This window comes from Homo sapiens, chromosome 15 (genome assembly GCF_000001405.40).
Source record: "Homo sapiens chromosome 15, GRCh38.p14 Primary Assembly".
Lineage (NCBI taxonomy): Eukaryota > Metazoa > Chordata > Mammalia > Primates > Hominidae > Homo > Homo sapiens.
Genome location: NC_000015.10, coordinates 50,613,939 through 50,627,112, shown reverse-complemented (window position 1 = coordinate 50,627,112; position 13,174 = coordinate 50,613,939). Strand labels below are relative to the sequence as shown.

The window sequence follows — 13,174 nt, the reverse complement described above, 5'->3', positions numbered from 1 at the left end:
AATTAATAAGAGGCTGGGCAGATTAACTGTTCATCTGTACCTTGAAGTATTACCAGCCTTTACGGAGGACAAACTAGATCCTTTTTGTCCACATAGTAAATATAAACAGCAAATTGCAGAAAAGTATGCACAGTATGATCTTAATTGTGGCAAATTCTCCTTATGAATGTACAAACATTCATGCATATCTACATGTACTGTGTAGTTAATAGTACCTTTCTAAAACTGTTAACATGGGATTCATCTTGGAGAGATGGGGGCTGAAGGAAAGTTTTATTTTATACCATTTTGTAGTGTTTGATTTTTTTTTTTTTAACCATGGGAATGTATTTCCTATATAGCAATAAAAAAGAGTTTATTTAGTCACTTCTCCTCTTGCAGGACTACAGAGGAAAAAAATTAATGTTAATCATCTGTGGTGATGACTATAACCAACCTTATTTTTCCCTTGAATAATTTAACTGGATTTTGTTCTCAGATGTAAAGGCTTGGATGAAGCATTTATCTTCTGTGTATATGTGGTTTGTCTGATGAATTTCTTCTGCATAGTGTTACCTATTTGATTTTGTGCTTCTTGCTAAACTTAGAATTTGCAGGACAGTTGTTTTTCTTCTTTCTTCTTGCTTGCCAGGAGTTCAATATGCATTGAGTGTGAGGAAATGCTCCTTACAAAACAGACACTTTTTTTTAAAATGGTCCCTTTTTCCCCCTCAGATATGAAAATTAAGATTTTGTTCTAGGGCAGTGGTTATAAACACAGAATGTTCTTGTTTTAAAAACAATATTTTGTTATATCCCCTTTTATTCTACTAAAGTGAAATTTCATAAGTAATTACATAAATTAAGAATATATGTATAATGCCCTAATTGTAATAAGACAGAAAAAATGATTTATAATAAAAAATAAATATTTCAGTATATAAATGTTCAAGAGTGGCAATATAAAACACATAATAAGTCAGATGCCTGCAGTTATAATAAGAATCAGTGTAAATGCTGCAGTTATACATACTAATACAAGTATGTTGTTGGTAACTTAAATATCCTGGGGAACAGATAAACACCCTTTGCAAGTGTAGGACAAAGAAAGACCAAGTGGGCACTAGAATAATGTTAGAATATTACTGTTAGAGTAAGTAATAACATTAGGATTATTTGTATGTGATAAGAGAAAGAAGGAAATAATCTTAAGTAAAATAGTACGATGCCATGATAAACTACAGCCTAATAATGTAGAGAAAACTAATAAGTATTATTTTCTTGGAGATCAGGCCTTATTTTTAAGCAAGTGAAAAATATTTTCCTTGTTGTGACAGAACTGAGTATTGAAAAATGTCACAGAAAACATACCTTTCATCTTTAAATTCCATCATGTAAAAGGCATACATTTCATCAGTATATACTTAAAATAGGACTGGGTGTGGTGGCTCATGCCTCTAATTCCAGTACTGTGGGAGGCTGAGTTAGGAAGATCACTTGAGGCCAGGAGTTTGAGACCTGTCCCTATTTTAAAAATAAAGAAAAAGAAAAAAGGCAGGTACAGGGGTCAGGGGTACACACCTGTAGTTCTTAGCTACGTGGGAGGCTGAGGTGGGAACATCCCTTGAACCCCTGAGTTTGAGGCTGCAGTGAGCTATGATTGTGCCACTGGGTGACAGAATGAGACCCCGTCTCAAAAAAACAGAAAGTATATACTTAAAATATCATGAAGACTATATCCTTGCTAGGTGATGTAAATCGAAGATAGATTGGAGAAAGAAATGGTAATACAAGTTGCTCTAGAGAAGTTGTGTAGTTGTGTGTTAAACCTCTGAAGATAGAATAAGATTGAAAAATAATGGGTAAAAAAACCAGTGGTTTTGTATTGATTTTTGCCACAGAGATGTTTTTAATAATGTGGTACTAAAATACTTAAAATACACAGAAATATACAAAATATTAAAAAATATACAGACTATATTAAAACAACCTTTATTAATAAAACTCAGTGAAATACCTATATTTCATGTCCCTACTAATTTACCAATATTTGATTTCAAGTCTGTTGAAGTTTATAAAATAGGCTTTAATATATAAAGGACAGCTACAAATGCTGAATGATACAGATGTGTTATATTAAGCACAAAGGACATAAGTTGTATTGCTGTCAAGTGATTTCTTTTCCATAATGATGAATGATTTCTTTTAAAGTTCTGAAGACTAAGTACAATCTTGCCTGACTTATCTGATGGTTGTATTTTTGGAAAATTCACTGTAGAACAAAAACTATGATGAAATACTTTGTGTTCATTTGTAAGGCAGAATTACTGGTTTTTCAGTCATAAACATCTAACAGGATAATAAAAAGTTGTGTGGGATGCGGGATAGTTTCTTTCTGAGTAGAATTCTCCAGCATATTGCATGATTTCTGATGTCCCTTGACCCTACCCATTAAATGTTAGTAACAGCACTCAATTATTGAAATAATCCTTCCCACAAAACCTTCCCTAAACACTGAGAGCATTGCTTTAAGGTATTCTTTCCCAAGATTTAATTGATGATGGATTCTGTTTTTTCCCCCATGTAACACTTATTCTCCTACAGAAGTAGTGTTTGTGGAATATTCTTTAAGAAACGTTGTTCTAGAGAGGTCTTTTAATCTATTCCCTAAACACCTAAAGTCTTATTAGCTTTTTACTGTGTTGCATCTTTCTAATTTTGTTCTAAAACTGTTGGGAACAAATTAAATGTAAATCCTAAGGACTTAACATTTAAAAGTGTTTGTATAATTAGAATATGTGAAATATGTATTTATTAAATTTGATACTCCTAGGTTGGATCCTTGGAACAAGCTATGCTTGATGCTCTTGTAATGGATAGAGTTGCATTTGTAAAACTTCTTATTGAAAATGGAGTAAGCATGCATAAATTCCTTACCATTCCGAGACTGGAAGAACTTTACAACACTGTAAGTCTACATTAAAATTCTTTATTGACTACATTTTATCTTTTGGGAAATGTTACTTTACCTGAATATAGCCATTCCTATTGATAAAACCCTTAATGTCTTCCTTAGTTATATGAAAAAATTATAGCCAGTCTTAGTATGGATTGGTTGTATTACAGTCTGAAACCCTTTCCTTGTTTTTAGAACCCATTCCCTGTCACCATAACCACATAGGGCTATTAAGCCTACCTCTCTTTCCTGTGTATTTCCCTTTCCCTCCCCTTATCAAAACTAGAGGATCAACTTCTTAATTATAGGGTGATTATGTTTCTTTTGACTCCGTTGTCTAATGGAGGAATTATGCATTGCTTTTTTCTCTTTTTTTTTTTCTTTTTTTACATTCATTGTTTGACCTCATGGTATACCCCTTTTAGCTTACATACTGTTTTCATTTTTTTTGTAAAGGACTCCTGAAAACTTACTATTCTCGTAACAAAGACTTTCACATTTTATTCCAAATTTTTATTGTATTAGCATTGAAGATATACTACCCTTCTTAGTGGTTTTCTGTGTTATGAATATGAGTTTACTACCCAAATCCTTAACTTGATTTTCAAAGATCTTCATATATTGCCCCATCTACTTTTCTCACTTGGCCTTTTTATTGCCCCCCAAATCCAGGGCGGGGCGGGGAGGGGGCGGGGCAGCAATAAGATGGTAAATGTCTACCTACTATTTACTAAAAATACAAACTTTTTTCTTTCTTTTTTTTTTTTTTGACAGAATCTCGCTCTGTCACCAGGCTGGAGTGCAGTGGTGCCATCTTTGCTCACTGCAGCCTCCGCCTCCCTGGTTCAAGTGATTCTCCTGCCTCAGCCTCCCAGGTAGCTGGGACTACAGGCGTGTGCCACTGCACCCAGCTAATTTTTGTGTTTTTAGTAGAGTCGGGGTTTCACCATGTTGGCCAGGATGGTCTTGATCTCTTGACCTCGTGATCTGCCCGCCTCAGCCTCCCAAAGCACTGGGATTACAGGCGTGAGCCACTGCACCCGGCCAAAAATGCAAACTTTTTTAAAAAAAAGCATTTGCTATTTTCACAGTGCTGGTCTGTTTTGCTTCCAACTAATAACCCATTTATTGAAATTTTATTAATTGCTTAGGACTTAGCTTAAATGCCATGCCACTGGTTCCATGAAGCTTGGTGGCATAGTTAAGTACAATTATTATGTCTTTCCCTTTGGATTGTAAATTTCTTTGAAGTAGGTATTATATCTCATTTTCTCCCTTTTTTTTCTTTTTTTGAGAAAGAATCTCACTCTGTTGCCCAAGCTGGAGCGCAGTGGCACGATCTGGGCTCACTGCAACCTCTGCCTTCCGGGTTCAAGCAATTTTCCTGCCTCAGCCTCCTGAGTAGCTGGGATTACAGGTGCATGCCACCATGCCCAGCTAATTTTTGTATTTTTAGTGGAGATGGGGTTTCGCCATGTTGGCCAGGCTGGTCTTGAACTCCCGACTTCAGATGATCCGCCTGCCTCAGCCTCCCAAAGTTCTGGGATTACAGGCGTGAGCCACTGGGCCCAGCTTCCATTATTTTCTTTTAGTATGTGTAGCACATTTGCGTTGAACTTTGTTGGCATTTTACTGTCCCTAGTGGACAGATGTAAAAATTAAAAGGATTATTCATTGTGCTGTAGTAAGGTTTATACCTGAACTATAAAGCAATGTAAAATAATAAAAATAAAAATTGATCCCATTAGCAAGACAAGTAATTTTTTAAATTGTATGACTCAAAGGTGTTAAGATAATACTGTAGTTACTTTCAGCATCAATTATTGATGAAGTTTTAAAACATTTAAGGGCTTGCAACATGATAAAGCAGTAGTTCTCAAACTTTTTGATTTTCAGGGTTCCTTTACATTAAAATTATTGAGAACTTCAAAGAGCTTTTCTAAAGAGGTTTTGTTTGTGTGTGTTGGTATTTTAGAATGTAAAAATGAGAGTTTTAAAAAATATTTGTTTTTATTAAAGTAGCAGTTATATTTACTTAAAATTTCTAAACTTATCCCATATTAACATAAATATTTGTTCTTATTTCTTTTTTCTTAAATTAGCACCCTTCTGCCTGATACTTTTTTTTTGTTTTGTTTTGTTTTTTTGAGACGCAGTTTTGCTCTTGTCATCCAGGCTGGAGAGCAGTGGCACAATCTTGGCTCAATGCGACCTCCACCTCCCAGGTTCAAGCGATTCTCCTGCCTCAGCCTCCCAAGTTGCTGGGATTATAGATGCCCACCACCACGCCCAGCTAATTTCTGTATTTTTAGTAGTGATGAGGTTTCACCGTGTTGGCCAGGTTGGTCTTGAACTCCTGACCTAAGGTGATCCACTGCCTCGACCTCCCAAAGTGCTGGGATTACAAGCATGAGCCACCGCACCCAGCCTGCTATGTTTTTATTTTTAAAGAAAACAAAAAAATTGGTGAGAAGAGGAAAACACGTTTGCAAATGTCTTTAAAGTCTAGCCTTATAAAAGCAGCTGGATTCTCGTATTTGCTTCTGAATTCAATCTCACAATATCACACATCAAAAAGCCTCTGGAAAACTCCACCAAACACTGAGAGAATAAGAATGAAATAATACAATTTTAATATGATTAGGAAAAAAGTCTTGATCTTGTGGAACTCCTGAAGGAATCATGGGGGCCTCAGGTGTCCCCAGGTCACACTTTGAGAATTACTGTGTTAAAGTACATTTATTATTTATTAACAATTTATTTTTAATGGATAAACATTTAATAGAGTAGGATAAAATAGAATTTAAGAAATTTTAAGTGCCTTTCCATGTGATTACATACCGTTAGAGAAAAATGCAATGAAATTCCCCAATACCCCCAAAATATGAGATACGTCTTATTAACTTAGAAGAAACTTTTATTTTAAAAAGTTCACCTGTGGGGGAGAATTGGCAGAGAGAACTTAGCCCCTGAGTTGATCGACTAAATAAATAGGTTTTTTTTTTTTTTTTTTTTTTTTTGAGACGGAGTCTCGCTGTTGCCCAGGCTGGAGTGCAGTGGCGCGATCTTGGCTCACTGCAGGCTCCGCCCCCAGGGGTTCACGGCATTCTCCTGCCTCAGCCTCCCGAGTAGCTGGGACTACAGGCGCCCGCCACCATGCCCGGCTAATTTTTTGTATTTTTAGTAGAGACGGGGTTTCACCGTGTTAGCCAGGATGGAATTTTTTAAATTTTTTACTTTTTTGGGGGATGGAGTTTCACTCTTGTTGCTGAGACTGGAGTGCAATGACGCGATCTCGGCTTACCGCAACCTCCGCCTCCCGGGTTCAAGCGATTCTTCTACCTCAGCCTCCCGAGTACCTGGAATTAAAGGCATGTGCCACCACACCCGGCTAATTTTGTGTTTTTTTAGTAGAGACGGGGTTTCTGCGTGTTGGTCAGGCTGGTCTCGAACTCCTGACCTCAGGTGATCCACCCGCTTCTGCCTCCCAAAGTGCTGGGATTATAGGCTTGAGCCACCGCGCCCAGCCCTAAATAAATATTGTAAAAAGAAGGCAGAGCAAAGTAAAGTAAAATATGATTCATATGCAATATCAATTGTAGTCATCTTAAATATTATATAGAATTTGAAAGCCAAGAATATCAAAGAAAATAACTTTTTCTCCAAAGAAATAATGGTAGGTGGCCCACTCTAACAGTATATATAAAGAGAAGTAAGATAATGGCAAAATTATGGCATATATAAATGTTAAATCAGGGATGTCCAATCTTTTGGCTTTCCTGGGCCACATTGGAAGAAAAATTGTCTTGGGCCACACATAAAATACACTAACACTAACGATAGCTGATGAGCTTAAAAAAAAAAAAATTGAAAAAAATTGAAAAAAAAACTCTATGTTTTAAGAAAGTTTACAAATTTGTCTTGGGCCATATTCAAAGCCATCTTGGGCTGCATGCAGCCCGTGGGTTACAGGTTGAACAAGCTTGTGTTAAAGTCTTGTTACCCAAAATATTTAAAGTCTCAATATGACTTTATTAGTGACAGAAACAGAGGAACAGACATTTTAACAAGAAGAAAGGTATTGTACAGCGCCATTATCAATGAAAGAAATGTAAATTTAAATTTAAGATACAATTGTAAAGTTGCAGTGATGACTTTTGTGAAACAAAAACTTATGTATCATTTTAGTGATACTCTTAAGATTATTTGTTTTTTGGCAGTAAATGTGAAAATTCTTTGTTGTTCTACTTTATGAATAGAACTTAAGGAAATAACTCCAAAACAATGTAATTTGTATAAGAAGGTTCATAAAAATCCTGTAAGGTTTAAATTAGTTTAGAAGAAAAATAATAGTTTGCTGTAACTTTTTCTCCCTAAAGAAACAAGGTCCAACTAATCCAATGCTGTTTCATCTTGTTCGAGACGTCAAACAGGTAAGAGATTATTTTTTGCTTTTGAAAAATGTTATTTTAAAAAATCATTTATATTTCATGTTTTTTAAAAAAAAAATCATTTAAATACATTTTAGAAATACCAATAAAATTACAGTTTACAGAACAAGATAAAATATGGGCTGAATTTGTGGTAAGAGAGGAGTAAAGAGCATAATGTATCAGAAAACAAGAAAAAAAGAGAGTTTATGGAATTAAGACCAAGGCTGGGCATGGGTGGCTCAAACCTGTAATCCCAGCATTTCGGCAGGTTGAGGCTGGCAGATTGCTTGAGCCCAGGAGTTCAAGACCAGCCTGGGCAGCATGCTGAAATCCCATCGCTACGAAAAGTTAAAAAAATTACCTGGGCATGGTGGTGCACACCTGTAGTACCAGCTACTCGGGAGGCTGAGGTGGGAGGATCACTTGAGGCCAGGAGGTAGAGGCTGCCATGAGCCATGATCTTGCCACTGCATTCCAGCCTGGGTGACAGAGTGAGACTCTGTCTCAAAAAAAAAAAAAAAGAAAAAAAAGCTGTTGAGCTTCTGGTCATCCAAGATAGAATATGATGTATAAAGCTCATTGGTTCATAAAAGAAAGACTGTTGATAGAATGTATCTTTTTTCCTCTATCTTCAGCAGAAATTTATTCCTCAGAAAATTGTCCCAATGTAAAGGATGTTGAATAAGGAAATTGAGGACTGGGTCATGATCTTAATGGCAGACTTTGCCAGTAAAAATGCTGAAAACTCTCTCCCCTTTAAAAAAAAATCTAGTATTTCTACTTAGCCACACAAAAGAATGAAATCATGTCCTTTGCAGCAGTGTGAATGGAACTGGAGGTTGATTATCCTAAGTGAAATAACTTAGTCAAATACCACGTTTTCACTTACAAGTTGGAGCTAGACAATGGGTACCTATGGACATAGAGTGGAATGATAGACATTGGAGACTTTACAAAAGGTGGGAGGTTGGGTGGGGGTGGTGAGGGTTGAACAACTACCTGTGGGTACACTATTCACTGTTCAGATAATAGGTACACTAAAAGCCTAGTCTTCACCGCTACATAACATATGCGTGTAAGAAATCTATACTTGTACCCCCTAAATATATATAAATCATTTTAACATACGTTTATTTATTTATTTATTTATTTATTTATTTATTTATTTATTTATTGAGACGGAATCTTGCTCTGTCGCCCAGGCTGGAGTGCAGTGGCGTGATCTTGGCTCACTGCAAGCTCCACCTCCCAGGTTCACACCATTCTCTTGCCTCAGCCTCCCAAGTAGCTGGGACTACAGGCACCTGCCACCACGCCTGGCTAATTTTTTGTATTTTTAGTAGAGACGGGGTTTCACCATGTTAGCCAGGATGGTCTCGATCTCCTGACCTCGTGATCTGCCCTCCTTGGCCTCCCAAAGTGCTGGGATTACAGGCGTGAGCATTTTTAACTTTTTTAAAAGTAAAAAACATCTAGTATTGGTGGTGATGAACGCATAACACTGTCATGATCTCAGGCTATTCTGTGGCCACTAAATTGATGTACTGTTATTCCTCTTCTATCAGGATTGTTTGTGAACTAAAAGTTTTAAACGTTTATCACCACTTTTATAGCCATTTATATTATTGGTATTCAATACAGTTTTGTTTTCCTTGATAAAATAGTATTTATATTTATTTGGTTAAAATATCTTCTAAGTTTCTAAACTTAAATTTTGTTTAGAATTATTTATTTATTTCAGCTTTTACTTGCTGCTAAGTATGAGTGCATTATTAAAAACATAGAAGGCCAGGGCTGGTGGCTCATACCCGTAATACCAGCACTTTGGTAGTCTGAGGTGAGTGGATCGCCAGAGAGAAGGGGTTTGAGACCAGCCTGGGCAAACAAAGCGAGACCTTTTCTCTACAAAAAAATTTAAAAATTAGCCCGGCATGTTGTCACGTGCCTGTAGTCCAAATGATTGGTGGGGGTGTGGGGGGCACTGAGGGAGGATCACTTGAGCCCAGGAGTTGAGGCTGCAGTGAGCTGTCATCGAGCCACTGTACTCCAGTCTGGGTACACATCAAGACCCTTCTTAAGAAAAAAGAATGACGTTAGAAATGTCATTTTAACAGCCTTGAGGATGTTTTTTAAAAATGTGATTTTCTGTTTTCATTTTCTTTATTTTGTAACTGATTTAATACTAAACTACTATCCTATAGGAAGAACCGAGACATTTTATACTTAAAATTTTTTTTTTTGAAATGAAGTTTTGCCCTTTCTTGCCCAGGCTGGAGTGTGGTGGCACGATCTCGGCTCACTGCAACCTCTGCCTCCTGGGTTGAAGTGATTCTCCTGCCTCAGCCTCCCGAGTAGCTGGGATTGCAGGTGCCTGCCACCAAGCCTGACTGATTTGTTTTTTTTTTTTTTGAGATGGAGTCTTGGTCTGTTGCCCAGGTTGTAGTGCAGTTGGCGCGATTTTGGCTAACTGCACCCACTGCCTCTCAGGTTCAAGCAATTCTCCTATCAGCCTCCCGAGTAGCTGGGACTACAGGCGCACACCACCATGCCTGGCTAATTTATTTTATTTATTTATTTATTTATTTATTTATTTATTTATTTATTTATTTATTTTTTTGGTAGAGATGGGGTTTCATCATGTTGGCCAGGCTGGCCTCAAACCCCTGACCTCAGGTGATCCACCCACCTCGCCTCCCAAATTGCTGGGATTACAGGCATGAGCCATTACGCCCAGCCTGCATGTGCTTTTCTTTATAGCTTTATTGAAATACATTTCACAAATTACAAAATTCATTCATTTAAAGTGTATATTGGCCAGACCCAGTGGCTTGAGGTCAATAGTTCAAGAACAGCCTAGCCAAAATAGTGAAACCCTGTCTCTACTAAAAATACAAAAATTTGCCAGGTGTGGTGGCATGTGCCTGTAGTCCCAGCTACTTAGGAGGCTGAGGCAGAAGAATTGCTTGGACCTGGGAAGCGGAGGTTGCAGCAAGCTGAGATTGTGCCATTGCACTCCAGCCTGGACAACAGAGCAAGACCCTTTGTCTAAAAAAAAAAAAAGCATACATTTTTTGACTTTACTATATTCAGAGTTGTACAACCATTGCCACAGTCTAACTTTAGAGCATTTATAATACTTCGAAAAGTTACCCTGTACCCTTTAGCAGTCACTTCTCATTTCTTCTCCTTCTGTACTCCCCACTTCTGTCCCCGACCTATGGTAACTATTAATCTAATGATTTGCTTATTCTGGTCATTTCACATCAATTTGATTTGGTCTTTTTAAATAATTAAAATTCCCCCTCCTTCCCCTAGAAATCTTAAGTAATGGGGGAGACGTTAAGACCATGTTTCTAAGAAAGAATTATGGTAGTTAAAATTTTGGAAACAAATGTGAGAATTTGTATACATTGTTGTTACATCGGTGGCTATAATAATAAGCCCTATTTTTTTTATTTCTATAAGTGATAAATCTTTAAATACAGGTAGTAATTGAATATTTTTATTCAAATTGGTAACTTGAGTTTTATGACTTAGTGTAGTTTGAGAACTTGATCGTCATGACATTTGTTAGATAATTCACATTATTTTACCTAATTTAAAAATTTCTTCTTCAAGTGGGTTCATATAATGGCATTTGTGGTTTTTAATAAATAATATTGAAGAATATCATAGGTGACATTCTCAATCATTCTGCATATTTTGAGATTGCTTGAGTTAAAACCAAAAATCTTGTATTCAAGATGGAAATAGGTATTTTGATTTATTTTCAAATTAGAGATTTAAAGGATATAGTTATCTAGAAATTAGAAATTTCACAGATGAAACCAATATATATATATTTTTTTGAGACGGAGTTTCGCCTTTGTTGCCCATGCTAGAGTGCAATGGTGTGAACTTGGCTCACTGCAACTTCCGCATCCTGGGTTCAAGCGATTCTTCTGCCTCAGCCTTCTGAGTAGCTGGGATTACAGGTGCCCTCCACCACACCCAGCTAATTTTTGTATTTTTAGTAGAGATGGGGATTCTCCATGTTGGCTAGGATAGTCTCAAACTCCTGACCTCAGGTGAGCCACCGTGCCCAGTGAAACCAAGATAGTAAAAATACAGACATTAAAAAAAACAAGTTCATGACATAATCAGGGAAATAAAAAAATGGTGATGGTAGGAGGGCAGAATTAGTTAAAAAATACAAATTATCTGATGATTAAATCCCTTTAAGATTATTTAATAAAATTAACCAGTTTTTAAATTTTAAAACAGGCAATCTTTCCAAACTCACAAATGGTGTATGTTCCAAAAGTGCATTTGTAAATTGCCATGGGAAAATGAAGTCTTATCTTTAAACAATGTTGCAAGCGGTAGTTAATTCCTGGACAACACTATAAAAACCTATAATATTACCAGTATAATTTTGGTTAAAAAAATACTTAACATGTATTTCTGGGCCAGTCTGGAAACATAATACAGCATTATTTTTCCAGAAAAATGCAATTTTTTGTATGTATCACAATGAAAATGGAATATTTGGCTGATTAGCATTTCCACTGTCTCTTTTTTTTTTTTTTTTTTTTTTTTTTTGAGACAAAGTCTCGCTCTTGTCGCTCAGGCTGGAATGCGGTGGCACTATCTCGGCTCACTGCAACCTCTGCCTCCCGCCATTTTCCTACCTCAGCCTCCCAAGTAGCTGGGATTACAGGTGCCTGCCACCATGCCCATCTAATTTTATATTTTTTTAGTAGAGACGGGGTTTCTCCATGTTGGCCAGGCTGGTCTCGAACTCCCAACCTCAGGTGATCTGCCTGCCTCGGCTTCCCAAAGTGCTGGGATTACAGGCCTGAGCCACAGCGCCCAGCCTGCTTTGTCTCATGTGTAAAGTGTTGGGGCAATGAAGAGATGAAATTGTTATCTTCCTGCTTTAGGTCATACTCCTGTCTCAGGGCACACCTTTGAGACCTCAGAACTTTAGAATCCCATATTTTTACAGAGGAAATAGAGAAACAAGCATTTCCTTCTGTAAAGATAGCTTAGCTGCTGGCAACCCTTGCTGCTGCTTTTTTTTTTTTTTTTTTTTTTTTTTGAGACCAAGTCTTGCTCTGTCTCCCAGGCTGGAGTGCAGTGGCACGATCTTGGCTCACTGCAACTTCCGCCTCCCAAGTTCAAGCAATTCTCCTGCCTCAGCCTCTTGAGTAGCTGGGACTACAGGCATCTACTAGCTTGCCTGGCTAATTTTTTTGTATTTTTAGTAGAGAAGGGGTTTCATCATGTTGGTCAGGCTGATCTCAAACTCGACCTCAGGTGATGCACCCGCCTTGGCCTCCCAAAATGTTGGGATTACAGGCGTGAGCCACTGCACCTGGCCCTTGCTTCTTATAAGAAGTAAACATTTGTCATTTTGGAGAGTAGGCCTGTTCCTAGGCAGGGCATGGCAATATTGAGAAGTGCTATCTGATCTATTTAAAACAAATGTTTTGTTTCTAGGGAAATCTTCCTCCAGGATATAAGATCACTCTGATTGATATAGGACTTGTTATTGAATATCTCATGGGAGGAACCTACAGATGCACCTATACTAGGAAACGTTTTCGATTAATATATAATAGTCTTGGTGGAAATAATCGGGTATGTAAAATTTGTGGGGAAATCTATATATATGCTTTAATATTAACACATGCACTTTAATTGTTAAGAATTAACATTAGAACGGAGAAGGTTACACTGTCATAAAGTTGAACATTTTCAACTAAGAGCAATTAGAAATATTATGTCGTCAAAATCCTAAATCAGTCATATTTTGTGTGTGTAC

The 13,174-nt window shown here is 37.1% G+C and overlaps 1 protein-coding gene across 5 annotated transcripts in view; it reads left to right on the top strand.

Annotated features, from left to right (window-relative positions):
* The window catches only part of TRPM7 (transient receptor potential cation channel subfamily M member 7), a 129,640-nt gene that overhangs the window by 59,685 nt on the left and 56,781 nt on the right, over positions 1-13,174 (top strand). For all 5 annotated transcript variants that reach the window (NR_149154.2, NR_149152.2, NR_149153.2 and 2 more), the window contains exons 12-14: positions 2,813-2,947; positions 7,315-7,368; positions 12,850-12,990. Coding sequence is in view for 2 of the 5 variants with exons in the window: in NM_001301212.2 (NP_001288141.1) it covers positions 2,813-2,947; positions 7,315-7,368; positions 12,850-12,990 (330 nt within the window). In the remaining 3 variants the exon portion in view is untranslated. The remainder of the gene's footprint in view (positions 1-2,812; positions 2,948-7,314; positions 7,369-12,849; positions 12,991-13,174) is intronic.